The sequence below is a fragment of the Homo sapiens genome, chromosome 22, assembly GCF_000001405.40.
Source record: "Homo sapiens chromosome 22, GRCh38.p14 Primary Assembly".
NCBI lineage: Eukaryota > Metazoa > Chordata > Mammalia > Primates > Hominidae > Homo > Homo sapiens.
The window spans coordinates 33,058,382-33,080,463 of NC_000022.11; the positions used below are offsets into that span (position 1 = coordinate 33,058,382).

A 22,082-nucleotide genomic window follows, 5' to 3' on the forward strand; every position below is an offset into this window, starting at 1 on the left:
GCCCCTCAACGCGCGCGAGCGCCCCCGCCCGGCGGCCCGGCCTCCCCGCGCCGCGGCGCCCCATTGGCTCGGGCAACGAGGCCCCCGGACGGCCCCGCCCACCCGCGCCCACTCCCTCGCCCACGCCTCTCCCCAACGCCTTGCTGGGTTCACCTCTCCAGGCAGGGAAAGTTGCTTCTAGACTCTGAGCTCTCACCGGACTCAGGAGCCCAGTTAGCTAATAATTCTGGGTCCCAGGAGTGTCTAGACGCCCCTCGGGGAGTGCGAAGAATGCAGTGTCCTTGGAATCCACCTTTGGGAAAGTCAGCTGACCTCCCGGACCTCAGGTGGCACCTCAGAGAAACCAGGGCCCCTTGTCAGGAAATGTCCCAGGTTGTGGGCTAGGCCCTAGGGCCAGGATGCAACAGGGAACAAGACAAAGTCTATCGTCCTCGTGGACTTTGCATGGGGTGGAGGTGGGGGTAGGTTATATACAACAAACGAAAAAAACAAGAGAATGTCGGCTGGGTGCCTGTGGCTCACGCCTGTAATCCCAGCACTTTGGGAGGCCGAGGCAGGTGAATCACGAGGTCGGGAGTTCAAGACCAGCCTGGCCAAGATGATAAAACCCCGTCTCTACTAAAAATACAAAAATTAGCTGGGCATGGTGGCCCTCACCTGTAGTCCTAGCTACTCGGGAGGCTGAGGCAGAATTGCTTGGACCCGGGAGGTGGAAGTTACAGTAAGCCGAGTTAGAGCCACTGCACTCCAGCCTGGGCAACAGAGCTAGATGCCGTCTCCAAAAAAAAGAAAAGAAAAAGAAAGGGGTCTAGGACTGCTATACCTAGGGTGGTCTCCGGGCCGCTTGTGATATTGGATACTTGGAGGACAAAAACGATTCCAGGGCTGAAGCAAGAGCATTGCTGACAGAGGGGTCGGCCGATGCATGGTTCTGAAGCTGGAACTGGCCCCCAGGGTGGCTGAGTGAGGTGAGCAAGGGGAGAGTGGGTTACAGCCAGAGAGGTAGACTAGTGTGGAATCACCATCACCCAGAACCTTGTAGGCCACCGTGAGGGTCAGGGCTTTGTCATATCAATCTGGAGGGAACAATTCAGGCAAGAGATTATGGTGATGAAGACCAGGGTGGTGACAGCAAGATACGGAAAAGGTGGACCTCCTGCAATGTGTGTCAAAAGTAGCACAGGAAGGCTTGATGATGGATTAGGCTGGATTTAGGGGATGCTATGGTTTAAATATGTTCCCCAAAGTTCATATCTTGGAAACTTAATCCCCAATGCAACAGTGTTGAGAGGTGGGACCTTTAAGAGGTGATTCCATTAATGCCAGGAGTGGCCCTCTCCCCACCCCTCTGCTGCTCTCTTGTTCTGCCTTGTGCCATGGGGTGACTCAGCATGAAGGCCCTTACCAGATGCAGCCCCTCAATCTTGGACTTCCCAGCCTCCAGAGCCATGAGCTAAATAAATTGTTGTTCCTTATAAATTACCCAGTCTGTGATATTCTGTTATATTGGCACAAAATAGACTATGACAGGGGTTGACGTAAAGGGATGAAAGAAGAAAATCTCCTAGGTGTTTAGCTTGAGCCACTGTGGAGTAATGGTACTATTTCCAAGATCGGGAAGGTTCTTACCCAGCATCTTCCACTTACTGCATGAGCGTTAGTACATGATCTCAGTAACTAAGAGGGAGTGACTCTAACCTCAGTAACTAAGAGGGCATAAGACTAGCTGAAGGATCACAAACTTTAATACCGACGTGGCCGGGTAGTCATGTACTAAGTGAGGTTGGCAGGGTATAATAGAAAGGAGGGATGGGGCTTGTGACAGACTGAGGTATGCACACCTGCCTAAGGTGACAGTCACTGCTCAGCTCCAACTGATTTTTGCCATATGTGAATGGAGACCCACCCAGAGTTGCCAGATGTTCTGTTTTTTGTTTGTTTGTTTTTTATCGAGACTGAGTCCTGCTCTGTCACCCAGGCTAGAGTGCAGTGGTGCGATCTCAGCTCACCGCAACCTCCGCCTCCCTGGTTCAAGCAATTCTCCTGCCTCCCAAGCAGCTGGAATTACAGGCGCCCACCACCACGTCTGGCTAATTTGTGTATTTTTAGTAGAGACAGGGTTTCACCATGTTGGCCAGACTGGTCTCGAACTTCTAACCTCGTGATCTGCCCACCTTGGCCTCCCAAAGTGCTGGGATTATAGGCGTGAGCCACCACACCAGACCCTGATTTTTATTAAGAGGCCAGAAATTCAGATTATGTTAAATCTCTGGTTTTTTTAAATGCTGGTAATTAACTACAACTTTTTTTTTTTTTTTTTCTGAGACGGAGTCTCGCTCTGTCGCCCAGGCTGGATTGCAGTGGATTGTCGAGATTGCAGTGGTGCAATCTCGGCTCACTGCAAGCTCTGCCTTCCGGGTTCACGCCATTCTCCTTCCTCAGCCTCCCAGGTAGCTGGGACTACAGGCGCCCGCCACCACGTCCAGCTAATTTTTTGTATTTTTAGTACAGATGGGGTTTCACCGCGTTAGCCAAGAGGGTCTCGATCTCCTGACCTCATGATCCGCCCGCCTTGGCCTCCCAAAGTGCTGGGATTGCAGGCGTGAGCCACTGCACCCAGCCAATTAACTAAAACTTTTTAAAAGACTGTATTGGCCAAGACTGTTGGACAAGATCAAACCCATGTATGGGCTGGATTTATCCCCTTAGGGACTATTTCCACCTCTGGATTAGACAATACCTCCAACCTTTTAAAGAAACCCTCATAGTGTCTGTCCAGATTGGATGAGAACAATAATGGGAAATAAAAGGATCAAGGAAATCCCAAATGAAAAACCCAGCATAGTCTTTAATGGCATTTGGCCCGCCCCTACCTCCATCTACCTGACATATATCTTCTAAGCCTCAGTTTCCCTCAGGCTAGAGCACAGCTCCTCCAAAACTCCTCCCAACTGTAACCTTTGGAGCTGTAACATCATCATAATTTTTCTTAACTACTGGTTTTCAAATATGCACAGGAATGTTGCTTGGGGAAACATGGAAGGTGTGTATTCATGTCTGGGTCTGTAAATCTAAAAGGCCTCAGTGCTGTCAGTCTGAAGCAAGGAAGGAAAGAGGAAACAGAATGGCATAGAGGTTTAGATGAAAGCCAGATAAATTATTGCATGGAAAATTATTTTTTATTGCACTCTGAATAAGAAAAAATGGCAATTAGATGCAGGAGTGCTTAATGGTTTCTACTGAAAATTCAATGTATTGTAGCCACTTCTCAATATATATCACCAAGGGTTTTGCAGTAATGAGGTTCTCCCATCATGCATTGGAGGTCAGCTGCATTCTAGCATTATTTATTCTTATGTACTGATCTCATGTAATCAAAAAGGCCTGAAAACAGAAAATCACTTTCTGTAGAGTCAGTCCCTTTTACTCCTATCTCCTCCACCTTAGACATCATTTAAAGCTGGAGAAATGGCTTATGATTTTATAAATTGCTGGGTTTTGTGTAGGAGGGTCAACATGGATTAGGAACCAGGAGACCTGAAACTAAGTCCTTGAATAACTTCTCTGAACCTTCTTCATCAGTAGAATGAGAGCTGACAAAAGGTGGCTTCCTAGAAGACTTGTTTATTTCTATTTGTACTCCATGTTTCTTTTGGGGGATTTTTTTTTTTTTTTGTATGGTGACCTGGCAATTCCCAGGGACAGATTCTTGCACAATTTGCCACTCCCCAACTACTCCAAAAATCCTTGAAGAAAGGATGTTGTCTAAGTTGAGCCTATTGGATGCTCACTCCTGGGACTTTCCCTCACCCGAAAGTGACAAAGATGAAGAGAGAAATTGGACATACTAAGACTGCTTGCTTACAGTAATGGTGGTGGCAGCAGTTTCCTGGACTCTTGGTCATGAATCTTGCCGCCCAACCTCGTGAATTTCCTAGATTTCTGTTTCTCAAGTTTGGTCCTGCCATCCCTGTCCCCTACCCAATTTTATTTTGTGAGTCTCCCATCTCTGTTAAAACTGTCTTCTTGTGTTAGCTACTCCAATTATTTCTCTTGCTTTTAACCAAAAATCCTCATGGATCTAGGAAGAAAAGAAACATATTGCATCATATGATCCTTTCCCCAGGGCAACAATTCAGCGCAGGAATTTGCATACAGATGGATGCACACACGGTGATAGGTATACATGTTCCCTCACTACTCAGTAAGAAATCCAACCCCATGGGGTGGCGGTGGTAGTGTTTAAAAGGTTATTTGTTTTTGAAAAGAACCCAAGTCTGCTATTCTTAACAGATTTTTTTTTTAAGTGAGCAGGCTCTTATAATAACAAAACCACTCTAGAAATAGCCCTCTCGTATGTAAATTTTGTAGTTTTTCAAAGTACTTTCATATAAATTCCCTCATTTCATATGCACTCCTGCGAAGTAGGCAGAATAGATAGTATTCACAGTTTATAGATTATTATAATCATAGCTACCATTTACTCAACACATGTTATGTACCAGGCACTGCTAAATGCTTTATATACCCATATGCCGATCTTGTTAAGGAGGTATTATTATCCTCATTTTATAGCTGAAGAAATGGAGGGTGGCCCCAGGTCATATAGATAATACATAGTTGAGGTGAGAACTCGAACTCAGTTCTGTCTGACAACAAAGGCCATGTGTGATTTTAGCACACACAGCTTCGTGTCATGTAACACAGCTGGTGAGTGACAGAGCTATACCTGGGACCTAGGCCCTAATTCAGGACAGTTTCCACTTCATTTAGCTAAGACTTAACCATACGGACCGAAAAGAGTGGAGTCTTTTTGGTTGTCCATCCAAAGCAAGATTTTTAAGGTGATAGAAAAAGCTCATTAATATTTTCCCCTACATAACTATCATGGTGCCTAAACTCCATATCATTAAAGATGAATTGCTAGGTGTGAAAACTGATGGGAGTGTGGGTACAAATTCAAACCTGTCCCTGAGGGGTAAAATGCTAAGCTTTATCAGCTGGAGGAGTAAAGTACTCTTGAGTCTATCCAGAGTGTCAATGACAGGGTGAAATTAGAACTGTTTGGTTTCACTTGTTTCCTATTTGAATTAAAAAAAAAAATCTTTTGGGAAGATGGGGAAGTTAAGGATAGAATAAAAGAAATTTTGAAAGTATTAGTTTATTCCTCAACATGAGGCAATTTGTTTTATCTCTGAAACCTGGTCAAATGAAGAGAGTGTTTAGAATTTCCTAACATCTATGGTTCTTTCCTGGGATTCCTGAGTAAAGGCTCAGACGTGACATGTCCTGATCTGGTGTTGAGGTTCATTCTGAGCTGAAGACTTTGGGAGATTTTTGTGCTAGCTTGTTTGCAGCACAGAGCATTTTTGCTGACGTTGCAAAGGATTGTCATGGCAACCAGAGAAATAAGTTTCCAAGTCCTTGGAGTCCCCCTTAAAGGGAGGCAGATGTCAGTGGGTGTTCATTTGTAATTAAGGGTGCTTGAAGGTTTTAGCTGATCATGTCACTTTCAAAGGTGCTGTTCTAATACATCTGCCTCCACGACTCACCAGGGAGCAGCTGCAGCAAGGCAGAGAGAAGACTAAGTCCAGTGGGAACATCCATGAAAACACCTTGGCAGCAGTTCTCACTGCTGGCTGCATGTTAGAATCACCTCTAGAACTTACAATGCACCAGTGACCTGGCCTCCGATGCCCTTGGCCCCTGATGCCCCAACCAAATCAGTTGACAGGGAGCGGGGCCAGGGTTTCAGAAGTTATATGTATTTTTCAGCCTCCCAGATGACACTAATGTATAGTCAAGGTTGAGAGGGCCTGAGCTGAAGTTAACGTCTCAGGTCCACTTCCTGGACTTTGTCTAGCGTCTTCATTTCAACTTCTTGTCTGTTAGCCTCTTCATTTTTCCAAACTTTGGGTGGATCGTGAGGCCAGGAGTTCGAAACCAGCCTGGCCAACATGGTGAAACCCTGTCTCTACTAAACATACAAAAATTAGCCAGGCATGGTGGCATGCGCCTGTAATCCCAGCTACTTGGGAGGCTGAGGCAGGAGAATTGCTTGAACACGGGAGACGGAGGTTGCAGTGAGCTGAGATCACACCATTGCACTCCAGCCTGGGCAACAGGGCAAGACTCCGTATTTAAAAAAAAAAAAAAAAGTAAAATGGGCTTTGAAATCATATACACCTTGGTTTGGGTCTCAATTCTGAACTTCCCAGGTGTGAGACACTCTTTATGCCTCAACTACTTCATAATAATAGCTGCTTCTCAGGGTTGAGAAGGTAGGGCTGGAGGGACCATGGAACAATGGGTATGAACCATTCAAGTGCCTTCTGATGTTAGGGGCTAACTACGCCCTAGTGAAGACATTTCCTCACCAAACATTTTCCAATCACAATCATGTACCCAGCTTGAAATGTGTATCTATTTTGTCCTTTATAACTCTAAGCCAATCCTAAAAACTACATTATATTGAGTATGTACTATTTGTCAAGCCTTTTTAATAGCATTTGCATATTTTTATTTTATTTAGGTTTCACAAAACCCTCTAAAGTTAGTACTACTGTTGCTTAGAGAAGGGAACTGGTTTGTTCAAGTTTTTAGCACTTCTTTGTTGGTTAAACTGATTAATTAATCCATGCATTGCGTGTCACCCTTCTGAGATAGTGTATTTATATTCTTACAAGAGCCTTCTGGAGACTGAATACTTTTTCTCCGAAGGAGGACCATTAATAAGGGAACTCTCAGGTATGGTTGCAGGCTGACAGGGGTTGTGCTTTGTCACAGGACTCTGGACACCTTTCAAATTCTTCCATTTACACATCAGCTTATCCCTTCTGTGCATGATCTATTTTCTAGACCCATCTGTTCCCGTGCATGTGGTGTTATTTAATCAAGAAAATATTTTATCTCATTTCCTCTTTGGTGTGGAAGGAATAATTCGACAGCAGTAACCCTCAAGCGACAATGTGCATCAAGAGAAAGGAGATGAGGTTGTCTCAACATTTAAAATGCTCATGTGCCACAAATCAGCTGCTTTACCTCTAGGGACTGTCCCTAATGACAGGTTCCCTTACGTGCTGAAGGAGGAGGGCACAATATGACGATATCCTTTGTAGCATTGTCTGAAATCATCCAACAGTTCATCAATAAGGAATGGGTAAGTATACAATGGCAGGGCCATATACGTGGAATATTACAAAGCACTAAAAAGAGTGTGGCAGATTCATATGTGTTATAATGGCTAAACATTATTGCTGAATGAATAAGGCAAATTGAAGAAAAATGGATATAGCATGTATGTACACACACATACATATACATACACATCTACTCTAAGATCACAAAAAGGGCCAGGCGCGGTGGCTCACACCTGTAATCCCAGCACTTTGGGAGGCCAAGGTGGGTGGACCACCTGAGGTCTGGAGTTCGAGACCAGCCTGGCCAACATGGAGAAACCCCGTCTCTACTAAAAATACAAAAATTAGCCAAGTGTGATGACGCATGCCTGTAACCCCAGCTACTTGGGAGGCTGAGGGGGGAGAATCGCTTGAACCTGGGAGGCGGAGGTTGCGGTGAGCCGAGATTGTGCCATTGCACTCCAGCCTGGGCAACAAGAGTGAAAACTCCATCTCAAAAAAATAAAATAAAATAAAACACAAAAAGTGCTAACAATTATCTCTAAGGGCAGCAAGGAGAGAACCTCATTATATGTGTATTTTTGTGGGTGGATTTCAAAGAGGGCGTTAGTCTTTTCCATTATGTTTAAATTTTTGTGATGTTATAATTATTATGGATATACAGTAATTAAAATTTAATTAAAAATCCAAACTCTTGCAATTTCTTTTTTTATTTGAACAATGAAGTACAATATTTTTAAATGGGAAGATTTTAGAATGGAAACTTGAAAAAGGGTTCTGTATTCAGTGCCATAAAAAAGAAAGCACATGAGATTGGGAGTCAGGGCGTTCGACTGTGTGACCTCAGGCAAATCACTTCCCTCCTCTGGGTCTCTGTTCCTCCTCTGTAGAATGAGGGGTTTGGGCCTAGTCAATGGTTTTCTCATTACTTTCCAGTGCCCCAGGATTTGCCAGAGGTGGCTCAGGTGCCATTGCAAAGTGTATGTGCATGTGTTGGGGCAGGGGGCGGTGAGGCGTGGAGAGACAGAGATAGAGAAATAAAGACAAATACAAAGAAGGTTAAAAGGAGAGAGAGAGAAGGAAGGAGAAAAGAACTGAAGGCGGAGAAAGAGAGGGAGAGAGAAAAAGAGAGAGTGAAAAGATTTTCTTTTGTAAAAGAACCACTTTATTCAGATATGATTGACATGCAAAAGAGAGAGATTTCTAAGATCCATTCGGCTCAGCTATTCTAAGCAGAGGCAAGTAGCAACAGAAGCTAGACAACTGGCTTTAAATTTGTACCCTGTGTGTTGCGGGGAGGCAGTGGAGAAGCACCTGGCTGGAAGTTAGAGAACTTGCCATCGGCAAGAACAGATTCAGCCTGAACTCCAGCCATCTGGCCACACACCGGTACCTCCATGCTGGACTCCAGAGACACACTGATGCTTCCAGTCCTTTGTGTCGAGCAGAACAGGCATGAGAGGAGGACCAGCTGACTGGCCTTTCTTCAGGCTCTGTGAGACTGGATGCTGAGTTCCAGCAGCATTCCTTGTCACCTTCTGCTTGGACTGGCTCCGCTACACTGGGAGAGGGGCTCCCTTTCCTGGTTTTCAAGCCCCTGGAAGGAGAGCAGAGCTTAACTTCCAGAAGCAGATCATTACTTTCTTCAAAACCATCTCCATCTGGACTTCAGAGGAGTAAGCATACCATAATCAGTGAAAGAAGGCATTTGAAAGAACTGCTTGGTCTATAAAATGCTATATCACATAGTGGCTGAAAAATAGTCATTGAAAGAATACATTCTTATGACTTTTCCTTTCAAAGAAGAAACGAGATAATGGCAAACATTTACCTTGGCATTACTAGAGATTTGGGTTCAAATCCCAGCTTTACCACTTAAATAGTGTGTGTGATCTTAAGCAATAATGATAATGATAGTAATAATTAATAATAATACACTTGTGCACCAGCCTCTCTGCTAAGTGTTTAACCTTTATTTTCTTATTGAATTCTTTCAGTGACACTTTAAGATAGATATTAATACCTCCATTTTAAAGATAGAGATGTATGGGCTCAGAGAAGCTAAGAAACTTACTAAAGTCACACACTCTAAGAGTGCCAGGGTCAGGAGTTGAACCCAGATCCACATCCACATTCTTTGAAAAGCATTGCTTTTAACCATTCTAAAAGACTTCTCTGAGGCCAGGTGCAGTGGCTCATGCCTGTAATCCCAGCAGTTTGGGAGGCCAAGGCGGATGGATCACGAGGTCAGGAGTTCGAGACAAGCCTGGCCAAATAGTGAAACCCCGTCTCTACTAAAAATACAAAAAATTAGCCAGGCGTGGTGGCGGGCACCTGTGATCCCAGCTACTCAGGAGGCTGAGGCAGGAGAATCGGTTGAACCTGGGAGGCAGAGGTTGCAGTGAGCTGAGATCGCATCACTGCACTCCAGCCCGGGCGACAATGCGAGACTGTCTCAAAAAAAAAAAAGACTTTTCTGTCTACTGAAGTTCAGTTCTTCCTGTCTTGTGAGATGATCATGAGGATCAATTGGACCAATTTATATGTCCTGTCCTGAAATCCAGAACCTGGAATGTATCACTAAAAGCAAGTGGAACAGAGAAAACCATGGCTTTTTACATGGAGGGAAATCTTTTATTATTAATACTAAAGCACACCTGTGGTTGTGATTTTTGTGATTGGGTCACCTCACTATGGGCAGGTGGCATTTTAATCCCTTGAGATTGTGCATAAAGATTTTTACCACCTTTGAAATGGAAATTCTTCTTCTTTCCCCCAAATATCTCCATTACGCTGCTATACTAGTAGGACGGGCAAAGCACATTCAAGACAGACAGAGTTGGGGCCGGGCACGGTGGCTCACGCCTGTAATCCCAGCACTTTGGGAGGTCGAGGTGGGCAGATCACGAGGTCAGGAGATCGAGACCATCCTGGCTAACACGGTGAAACCCCATCTCTACTAAAAATACAAAAAATTAGCTGGGTGTGGTGGCGGGCACCTGTAGTCCCAGCTACTTGGGAGGCTGAGGCAGGAGAATGGCGTGGACCCAGGATGTGGAGCTTGCAGTGAGCCGAGATGGCGCCACTGCACTCCAGCCTGGGCCACAGAGCAAGACTGTGTCTCAAAAAAATAAATAAATAAAAATAAATGACAGAGTTAGGAATTCTGCAATGCACTCCTCTGGCTGTGGCCACTGCTCCCAGAGTGACTATCTCTGCTCATTCATTCATTGCTCCTCTGGGAATTGGTAGTCTCCATCACCGTGTTGCCAGGCAACCAAAACAGCACGTGCCTCAGGAGGTGAACAAACCAATCAAAACACTTGAAGGAAAAGCTTTACCTGGTTGGCCTCCAAGATGGAAAAGGGGCTCTCTGGGTGGACTCAGGGCTGCGGCTGCTGGGATCAGCATCAGAGCTGGAGGGAACCCAGGAAACTAGAAACCTCTCATTTTTGTGTCTTAAGTGGTGGCCTGTTTGACTGTGAAGTCCACAAGGTTACAAAGAAACTCTGTGGCAGAGCCAGGAGGACAAGTTGGATCTCCCAGTCTTAGTCTAGTGTTTCATCCCTTATACCTCATCGCCATCATTTCAAGTCATGTGTGTGGCACTGTCTATGTATGAGACTCCTGCTTGCAGTGTGAGGGATGCAGAAGCCATTTAGACGCCATTCCTCATTCGGCCGTCTAACAATGCTTTATTTCACTTCCATAATGAAGGCAATGAAGCATAGTGATGAAAGATTCAGGCACTCACAGCCAGACAGAGCACAGGGTTCAGCTCAGCCCGTTACTACTTATGGGAGAATGGATATTACTTAACCTGTCTGTGTCACGTTTTCTCAAATAAACTGATGTTAAGTATGAGAATTAAAGCACAAAGGAAAGTTCGGTAAATGTTGGCCATCGTTGGAGATAACACTTGGGGCTCTTGAACTTAGACTCTGAAACTGGGCTGCCTGGGCTCAAGTCTCAGCTCTGCCTCATACTCACCACATGATCACTGCCAAGTTACTTACAATTTCCAGGATTTGTTTCCCTATCTGTAAAATGAGTGTAATAATTGAACCTATTAGGTTCATTATGAACTAAAATAATTTCATATGCATAAAGTGCTTAGAATACTTTCTGGTACACCATAAGTACCCTATAAATTTTAGCTAATATGATCCATCAACAAATATTTATTGAATACATTGTATGTACTAGGCACTGACCTAGGAGCTCTAGATATAAAACAAATCAAAAAAATAGGTAAATGTCTCTCTGCTTCATGCAACTATGACTGTTATTACATTCTTTTTTTTTTTTTTTTTTGAGACGGAGTTTTGCTCCTGTTGCCCAGGCTGGAGTGCAATGGCGCGTTCTTGGCTCATGGCTCACTGCAACCTCCACCTCCCAGGTTCAAACTATTCACCTGCCTCAGCCTCCCAAGTAGCTGGGATTACAGGCATGCGCCATCGCACACCGCTAATTTTGTATTTTTAGTAGATGGGGTTTCTACATGTTGGTCAGACTGATCTCGAACTCCCGACCTCAGGTGATCCACCCGCCTCGGCCTCCGAAAGTGCTGGGATTACAAGCATGAGCTGCCGCTCCTGGCCTGTTATTACATTCTTAATAATGTCTGTTTATTTCTCAATTCCTGCAAGGACCTGCAATTCCTGCAAGCATCTTAAATGCCCAGTATGTGTTTGGTTCACATTTGTATTACCTGTGCTTGGCACTGGGCCAGGGGTCTAGTACATGTTCAGTAAATATTTGTTTAATATACATATATATTTGTTTAATATACATACTGTGCTATGTATAGAACAATGGTTTGCAACCAGAGATGACTTCGATCCCTCTGGGGATATCAGGCAATGTCTAGGGATATCTTTGGTTCTCACAGCTTGTGGGGTGGGTTAGAGAAGGTGGTGGTGGTGGTGCTACTGGCGTCTAGTGGGTAGAGGCAAGTGATGCTTTTAAAATCCTAAAGCAAACAGCACAGCCCCCATAACAAAGAATTACCCAGCCCCAATATCAATAGCAACAAACTGAAAAGCCCTGGTAATACAACAGAGATAAACAAAGCCTTGTAATGACCCCTTCCCTCCAAAAGCTCTTGTTCTGTGCAACCGTGAGAGCATAGCACACTAAGTACTGTGCAGGGGGCGGGACTGTGAGAACATAGAGAAGAGGCACCTGAACAGCTGAGGCTTCTGGCGGAGGTGGTGTCTGAGGGGAATCTTCAAGAACATGTGTGAGTGTTCCAGGCACATTTTGTGTGTTCTGGGAGAAGTTATAGGACTTGGGGAAATGTGCCGGAAGGGTGAACAGCATGAGCAAAGGCTCGAAAGTAAAAAGTAGTTTGGGTTTCTTAAAGTGCAACAACAGAACAGGAGTGGGAGCAGAGGCTTGGCAGGCAATCGTGGAGAGCTGGGCGTGATGTGATCAGCCAGAATTTCCAAAGTCTGTTTTCTAAACACTAGTCCTTCAACACATGCCAGAAATAAAAAATTAAAAAAAATAAAAAAAGCCAACATCAAATAAGAATGAGAAAGTAGTGAACGCTACCTCCTACCCTTTTGGAGATTTGCAAGACATGTTGGTATCATGCAGCCTCTGACAAATCCTGCATTAAAGAAACTTGATTGATTTCATTTAGTTTAACCCAGAGTCTTCCAAAGGTTTTTGACCATGAGAACTTCTTTCCCAGACACTTATGTACCTGGATTCTACAGACCCCACTTTGGGAAGAGGAGCCACAGGCTATGAAGATATTTATGGGTTGCCTTTAAGAAATACAGTGTCTGGATTTGAGTTTTGGGAAGATCTCTCTGGCTCCTATGTGAAAGTGGATTCAGTAGGTAGGAGATGTTTATACACGTTGTTAAAGTGTGTGTCATGATGCTGTGATGTATTGATTCCTGGGCTGTCTCCTCCACTAGACTCTGAAATTTTTGTTGTAGGGGGCACATTTGTCGATCACTGTATCCCAGTGCCTAGATAAGCTGGACAGATAATAGGCACATGCTCCTATTTTTAAATGAATACATGCATATTGTTTTCAGGCATTGTACTACACATTGAGGCTGAACAAGACACATGGAGCCCCTGTTCTCACACAGTTAACAGACCAGCAAGCATGTAGAAGATACTTTATATTAATACATGTTTATGGACTGGTGGAATGACTAGCATAATAAATAAGACAGAAAGTGGCAAGGATCAGAAATTGGGAAGGGCCTATGAATCTGTACTGGAAACTAGTTACTTGATTACTTCTGATGTCCAGGGGCCCACGTTTGGGAACTGCTGTGCTGCCAGTCAGAGATGAGGTCTCTTTAATTGGCCTGCCGAGATCAAGGCCCCAGCCTTCCTACCTGGCTGTTCCTGACTCTTCCCACGTGGGGCTATCAAGCCTCTGGATTCTCTGTTCTGGAGCTACTACCCGGCCGTTTCTGATCTTGTTTTGATCCCCTAAATGCAGATTGGAGCACTACAGGTCCTTTATAGCCCAAACCCTGATGGGAACCATCACTTTACTGGACACCAAGTGGGTTGCTTGCTTCTGGTTTCCACCTCCCTGCCCTCCCCATGCAGAACGTACTCCTCCCTCATGTGACACCATCACATCCCTGGGTCCAAAAGACTGTCTCTCGAGATCTGCTCAAAAATGCCTATGAGGCAAAACATATTTCTGTTTTAATGTAGGCTGTGTACACAGTTAAGCTCTGTTTTATTTTTGATGTGCAAATTAAAAAGAAAAAGAGGAGGAGGAGGAGAAGGAGGAGGAGGTGGGGGAGGAGGAGGAGATGTCTGTATGGTATTTTAAGAGAGGCTGGAGCACTTTTCTTCATTTTGTCCTGGATAGGATTTTCCAGGGAAATGAAAAAGAATAAAAAGGCCCTGATTGACTGGTTCATGGCAAGGGGAATCATTTTCTTAGCTGGCTGATCAGGAGACAATAGATAGTTGTGATTGAATTAACTGGTGGTTTTTAAATTCCTGCTGGTGGAAAAACTTCACCAGAATCATTTGGGAAGCTCATAAAAAAGTGATGCTCAGGTCTCATCTGAGATTTATTGAATCAGGGCTCTAAAGGTAAAGTACCAGAATGTATATTTCTAAAAATATTCCGTGGAGATACTGATACATAGCCTGGATTGGTCGGTGGTGGGCTAGTGTGGGTCAGTGATGGAGCACTTCTCAGCTTGGCACAATCTCATTCTCTCATAAAGCCAATTCTGACTCTCTCTCCCAAGTCTAAATCCAAACTCAGTGTCACCCACCCCAGACCACAGGGCATAGCCTGAAGACCTTTTCTCATCCATTCTCCGGTCCAGCTCATGCCAATGAAGGTTGTTCGTAGTCCTGGCTGTCAAACACTGATCTATGAAACGCCAGGGCTGGCCTTCATTCCAGCTGCACCACCTGTTAATAATGCTCAGCACAGACATTTCTAGGCAAGGGAGAAAACCAGTTTTTCCTGCGGCCGTCTCGAGGGATATACATTTCCTATCATTACAGTTCATAATTTCCCTGATGATGGGAACATCATGTCAACTCTCATCCAATTTAAACAGGTCGTCTGTTGACCGATTTTCTTCCCCCATATGGGGTGGGGTAGTGGTGAAATGCCTTCTATTTCTGTTCAGGAAAAGACAGAGGATTTTGTTTTATGTACTTTAAACTTCATTCCTAAAGTTTAAATAAACTTTGCAGACATTTTCTCATTTGCCTTCATCAACAACTCTTTAGTACAATAAAGGGTCTTGCAGGTCCCAATCCATCTCTGTAGAGTGGGGCTGAAATTTGAAGGATCTGTGTGCACACACGTAACCCTGATTATTGAACCCTGGACCAGCCTCTGAATATTAAAAATCATATTTTAGAAGTCCAATCTACCAATCAAAAGGAATTTTAAAGGAGTTTTAAGCTATGCCGGGTTCTCTTGAAGACCAATACATGGAATCCATTTTATAACCTAGAACAATTTTCTAAACTCCTCCTTAACCTTTCCCTCCATTCTCTCCCACCTCTTAGATGCTCTAGAGCCCACCCCTCATAAAGTCTCCTCCACTCTCTCTAACACCCAACCCTGCAACTTTTATTTTTATTTCCTCTTGGCATTCCTTTTGGATCTCTGAGCCTGGCTTCCCATTCACATTCTTCATATTCTTTTGAATTTATATCACAAAACCCTACAAATTGGGATAGCAAGCCAAAACATCACTGATTGCTAACCAAGTAAAAAGAAAATTGCGTTAATACGAGTGAGGTAAAGGATTTGGTAGCCGAGAACATATACATGCTAATAAACCTTACCTCCTTCACATGTATGTTTGGGGTTATCATCTGTACTCCAGACAACAGCCCTGCAGACAGCGACTGTAAGTAATACCATTCCTATAATCCTCCCATGGCAGCATGAGGGCATCCACATCTCCTACCTTTCCTAACTAGAAGCTTCCTTCCTGGCTCTCACTCTCTCCCTTTCCCCTTAAACTCATCCGGGCTTATTGTCTGCTCATTCTGGTGATTCATATTATGTTTCTATCCTCTGGACTGATGTCAACAGGAAAGCAGCGTGACTGGGTGAATCAGCTGAGATGTAGCTCAGCACTTGTAAATGTCAGGAGGAGAACATGTGGCTTGGCTTTGTGTCCCCCTCCTCACTCTTCTTCTTTATGGCCAGGATCACCTACTCCTTTACCGGGACCGCTTCCCACATCTCTCCTCCATAGAATTCCACTCATTCATACATTGTTGTGAGTTGCAATAAAGTACCTTTGATATGATTTTCCTCCATAATCATGACCGCAATGTGAGTCATGATTTGAGCAAGGAATGGCCTTAAGAAAAATAAATATGTAAAAGTCATTGTTCCGGCTGGGCGTGGTGGCTCACGCCTGTAATCCCAGCACTTTGGGAGGCCGAGGTGGGCAGACCACTTGAGGTCAGGAGTTCCAGACCATCCTGACCAACATGGTGAAACCCCATCTCTACTAAAAATACAAAAATTAGCCAGGTGTGGTGCCGCGTGCCTGTAGTCCCAGCTACTCAGGAGGCTGAGGCCAGAGAATTGCTTGAACCAGGGAGACGGAGGATGCAGTGAGCCGAGATCACACCACTGCACTCCAGCCTGGGCGACAGAGTGAGACTCCATCTTAGAAACAAACAAACTAACAAACAAACAAAAAAGAAAAAAAGAAAAAAATCATAGTTCCATAATAAGCAGATCTACAGAGGAGAAAGGGTCCTTTGTCTTTAGTCTTATATCTGGGAAGTAAGTGAAGGGGGTCCTTGCCCCAGGGGCCTGGATTACTTTAGTCCAGCATGTTTTCTATATATTTGACATTTACTGAGTTTTTATTCTGTACCAGATACTGTTCTAAGTGCTTTACACATGTTAACATTTAAAATCATCATAACATAGGCATGTGATAGTTATTCATATTATCTACATTTTGCTGATGAGGAATTCCAAGCTTAGCGAGCTTATGTAACTTGGCCAAAGTTACTCAGGCAATGAGTGTTGGAACCAAGATTTAAATGCGTACCAGTGTTATAGCCTGAACTATTAACCATTATGCAACACCTGCTTCTCTCTTTTAATCCAAGTAGCTAATTGGATTCTTTACCAAGAGACAGTGATAGCCACCATTTCAGTGAAATAGCTATGTTTCTGTAGCTAGGTAAAGTCTTGGTAGGGAGGGAGATATGGTAGCTATTATGTGATAGAGTTGGAATCAAGTCCAGATCTTCTTACTCCAAATACCGTGGTCTTCTAACTTTAGAATAGTTGAAGAATTTCATCAGTAGTGACAAAGAAAATCCTGTGTCTATCTGTAGGAGGATTTACTTAATTTGTTTTATCAAAAAATGTATTTGATCTTCCTTAGGTGAATCAGTCACCTGGGCCTCATTTCCTCTGCTTCTGTTTCCTACAATTCTACACCATGTGGTGAGAAATTGTCTCATTATTCCTCAATGCTCCAGTGAGGAATCCTAAGTAAAACAGCCCTCATTGTATAGATAAGGGGACCGAGGCTTGGAGAATGTTAGTAACTTTCCATAATTACATAGCTAGTAGGTGGTAGAACCTGAATAATTGTTGAAAGGATCTTGGAGGAGAAAGATTTATGACAATTCTTATTTACTCAATGAAGACTTCTTTGAAAAGCTTTGCACTGACTATTATAGTAAATATGGTCTTGAGTAATTAAATCTATAATTCTATTTTCCTTCACGGTATCACATTCCTTCCTCTTCAAAGATGCTTCTCATAGCTGTTATAATTGAATAGGATTAGAGAAACATAACAAATGGAAAATTTTCCTTTCATGAGCTCTGGGGACTATCCACCTAAAATGTGTCTTCCAGATAAGACGATGTCATGCAGATTAGACATATCCTTAGAGAATGATAACACGTTTACTGCGAGTGAGTCACCTTCCTTTGGGATGTCAGAATTAGGCAATATCAAATCTAATAAACATCGATAGGCTGGAAAGAATTCTAATGTATTCAACAAGGTCAAAGAAATTCAGTGTCTAAGGCAAGGGCAGTAGTAACTTGAATCTATTTCTCCTCTACCTGACCTTGAAACTCATTTTCAACCCATGACTTCAAAAATATTAGGAAACAGGAAATAATAAGTTATACTGTTAGGAAATAAGTCTCCCTAACTGATTGGATAAGATATTTCTCTGGCACTTAAATCAGAGTACGTGACTTCTTCCTTAATTCCTATTTGAGAAAGTGCCATAGTAAACACACCCATGTCACTGGAGATACACACAATTCTGCTTGATGGTGACAGTATACTTGTGATGGGATTTATTATAAGTAGATTAGTTCTAGGAGCTTAGTTCTTGGCTTTGGCTATGTGGCCTTGTGGATGCAATTTTCATTCTCTGTTCCAAGGACTTGTGTTTTGTAATTTCTAGGATTCTTCTGAAGATATTTTTGAGTACCTAATTGGATGTGTGTGTATCTGTTTTGAAGCACCAGATTTTCATGAATACTGAAAGGAAAACTTCAGATTTATTCTGTCAATGGGATTTTTCCTGCTGTCCGTGGTGCTGAATTGTATTATACAAGTCCTTCAGATTTCAAGTGTGAATGTTTCAGCTGGAAGAGGGAAAGGTAAAAGGGAAAGAGTTAGACTTCATAAAAGCCTACAGATCTGTCCAATAGTGTTTATCCATATGTCTATAAACAAAATAAACACAGATAAGCTTAAGATAAGCCATATAGCTATAGAAATTGTAACTTTTTTGAGAGACTCTTTCTTCTTTAGCGTTGTATCTTAAGAGCTGGGATGTTACTTGACCCAGAGTTCATTCTCAATGGATTTTCTTTTTAGTGAATAGTGAATAAATTCAGTCACAGTGCTCAAAGAATTGGATACATATTTAATGCTCAAGTGGGAGGTCTCTGGAATCAGACTGCCAGGGTTCCTATCAGGGTTGTACTACTCACTGGCTGTGTGACCCTGAGCAAGTCATGTCACTTCTACCCAGTAAGACTATCTCAAAAGGTTGCTATGAGGATCAAAAGAGTTAATACACAAGAAATGCTCAAAACTGAACCTGCAACAGTGTAAGTGCTATGTATTATTGTTATTATTATTATTACTCCTTGTTTGCATTCCTTTTCAAAAGGAGATTTAGGAATAGTACATACAAGTTACATAATAATGATTAAAGTTATTGAGTGCTTATTATGTACCAGGCATACTAATTTACTAATTACTTACAATAGTACATGATCTAGGTACTATTATTATTCCCATTATAAAGTGAGGAACCTCATAGAGTGCCTAAGTAACTACCCCAGAGTCATATAGTACTTTTGGCACTCAGATTTAAACCTAGGCTGTTTAGAAATCTGGGCTCTTATTTAGGTTTTATAAGACTAATACATCTAAATAAGACGCCATTTTACTGCTTCTTAATATTTGGATTCCCTAATGTTAGTAATGTGGAGAGCAGATTGGATATGAAAGGGGCATTTTCTATAAGTGATCAAGTCTTTCTTTAATACTGAGCTATAACAGCCTCACAATAAAACGAGATGAATTTCCAATATTTTAATCTTTTTTCCTTGAGGGGATAGAAAGAGAAGGGGTATTTGTGCATGCCTTTTCCAATCAGTACAATTAGCATGTAGATCCTAAACATATATTATGCATATTTTACCTGATCATCTTAACACAGGGATTAGAACATTTTATGCTTTTTGGTTTACTGTCTTCACCTCTAATTCAGTTATTAAAATAATTCTGACGGTGCAGTTTAAGGTTCATTTCATCGTTAGTCTAAATTTTAATACTGAACATTCTTCACTTTACATTTCACTTATACACTGAGTATAATAATCTGTAGTTCATGTCCATCTAGGATGAAGGTGTTTATGCACCTTTGTTTCGTTTCCTTTTTTTTTTCAAAACTAGTCTCCTTTTGAGTGAAATCTGAACTGCATGTACTATTTGCAATTTGCAGTAGAAGACTGGCGTAAAAAAGAAATAATGAAAGCTATATTAGTATTGTCCCAGAAAATAACTGGTAATGGTGTAATCAATTTTCTCCGGTGATTTCTCTTTCCCTAGTTTTGACTGCTTTGCCTCCATCCATCTGAATGGAAAAAAAATGCTGAGTGCTTTTGCTGATTGCTGTTGGTCATGGACTACATTAACTAGAGTCCTGCAGCTTTACAGATAATTTGGTTTACACCTCTAAGTCTGCCAAATTGTCATCATTTAGCCATATTCATATGAGGCTCTTTCCTCATTAGTCAGTGATAGGCATAGCTATAATACATCTTTAGCGAGAAATGTACCAGGAAGCTCAGGCAGTAGGAGCCAATATTTATTGAGCACCTACTATGTGCCAGGACCCAGGTTAAGTTCTTTGCTACATTATCTAATTTAATCCATGTAATAATCCATTACAACATGTACTGTTATTATACCCATTGTATAGGAGGAAAATATCGAGGCACAGAAAAATAAGTTAACATGTCCATGGTCATACCAGTTAGTTATGAAAATTACTGACCAGGATTTGAAGCCAGGCAGTCTGACTCCACAACCAATGCTGTCTGTCACTATATTGTATTGCCCTCTATGTACTCATGTTTTTTGAATCCTTACAAATCAATTCAACAACATTGAATTAGCCTTTATTTTGTGCCAGGGACTGTGCAAGATACCAGAGATGCTAAGATTATTAAGATGTAGTCTCTTCCCCTAAATTACTCATGACTTAGTGTGAAATTTGTTGTAATAAAGGCACAGAGGGTCACAGAAAAGTAAGTGACTGCCTCAAAGGAGAGGGTTAGAGGCGAGGTCAGGGCAAGCTCCACAGATGAGATGTCTCTTGATCTAAGTTTTAAAATGTGAGAGAAAATATCACGTGCAAAGGCATGGAAGTGTGAAACTACGTAACACCTTAAACAGGTGAGAGACAACACAGCACACTAACTACAAGCATGGATGCTGGAGCTGGATGGCCTGGGCTTGAACCTGGCTCTACTTGGTGTCAGTGTTGAGTTCCTTAGCTTCTTGTGCCTCAGTTTCTCATCTATGCCATGAGGATGGTAATACTAGTAACTCCCTAGTAGTGTAGGGTGATGATTAAATGATTAAGGTACATAAAGCGCTTAGAGGCAGCGGTGCCTGACATAAGTCTCCATGATATCTAGTTATCATTCTTTTTTTTTTTTTTTTTTTTTTTTTAGACAGAGTCTCACTCTGTCACCCAGGCTGGAGGACAGTGGCGTGATCTCGGCTCACTGCAAGCTCCGCCTCCTGGGTTCACGCCATTCTCCTGCTTCAGCCTCCCAACTAGCTGGGACTACAGGCGCCCGCCACCACGCCCGGATAATTTTTTGTATTTTCAGTAGAGATGGGGTTTCACTGTGTTAGCCAGCATGGTCTCGATCTCCTGACCTCATGACCTGCCCGTCTTGGCCTCCCAAAGTTCTGGGATTGCAGGCGTGAGCCACCACACCTGGCCATCTAGTTATCATTCTTATTACCTACAACTTTTATTATTTTTGATGCCTATTAACTCCTCACTGCTATGTTACTGATAAGATAGACTAGACTGGATCACACTCTATTATTTGTTTTCAAGTGTCTCTAAGCTTTTCAGAGGTACCAACCCAGTTCGTTTAAGGAAACTCTAGTTTCCTTACAAAGTTGGTTGGCAATAAATGAGTTGTCCATTCTGCTTAGAAGAACCTAGCAAGTAGTGCTGCTTGGAACTTTCCCCTTAAGACATAATTTTACTCTGAGCCCCCAAGAAAAGAAGAAGGAAGGAAAAGATGAACAGGAATGACCCGTTGAGGGCAAAACCCATGAAAATTGATCATGGCTCTTTTCTCCGACAATGGCATCATTGGCCTGGCAGAGCACAAGAGAGCTATCAGGGGGACTGTCCTCTTGCATGTGCTCAGGAACTTGTCCTCATTGCCTCCAGGTGCTGGGTTTCTTAGAGCCAGAGGTGGCAGGCATGTGGAGGGAAGGCTTCTGTGGATCCTCCCCTCTTCCTCTCAAATGTTCCTTTGTAGATTTAAGAATTAAAAAGTGCAGTAAAATTTGTTTTATAATTATAGCCCCAGGAAACATGAGTTTTAGTCTTAGCTTCGACATTCACTGAGTAATAATTATTGCAAGCACTTATGTAGTGTCTACTATGTGCCAGATGTTTTTGAATCATGTTACTTGCATCACCTCATTTAATTCTTACAAGAGCTCAGTAAGTTGGTATATATGTGTATTTGTCAAGCTTAGCTAGGTTATGCTGTGATAACAAACAACCACCAGATCTCAGTAGTTTGTTTCTCACTCGTGCTCTTTGTTCGTTGTAGGTTCATGGGAATTCCGTTCCACTCTGTCTTCACCCCAGGATGCAGGCTAAGAAAATGACCTTCATACAGAATGTTTCAGAT

At 42.8% G+C, this 22,082-nt stretch overlaps 1 protein-coding gene across 1 annotated transcript in view; it reads right to left on the bottom strand.

The window, feature by feature from the left end:
• Nucleotides 8,282–22,082, bottom strand: part of LARGE1 (LARGE xylosyl- and glucuronyltransferase 1) — an 856,162-nt gene continuing 842,361 nt past the window's right edge. The window contains exon 16 of the transcript XR_007067993.1: nucleotides 8,282–8,736. The gene's annotated coding sequence lies outside the window, so the exon portion shown is untranslated. The remainder of the gene's footprint in view (nucleotides 8,737–22,082) is intronic.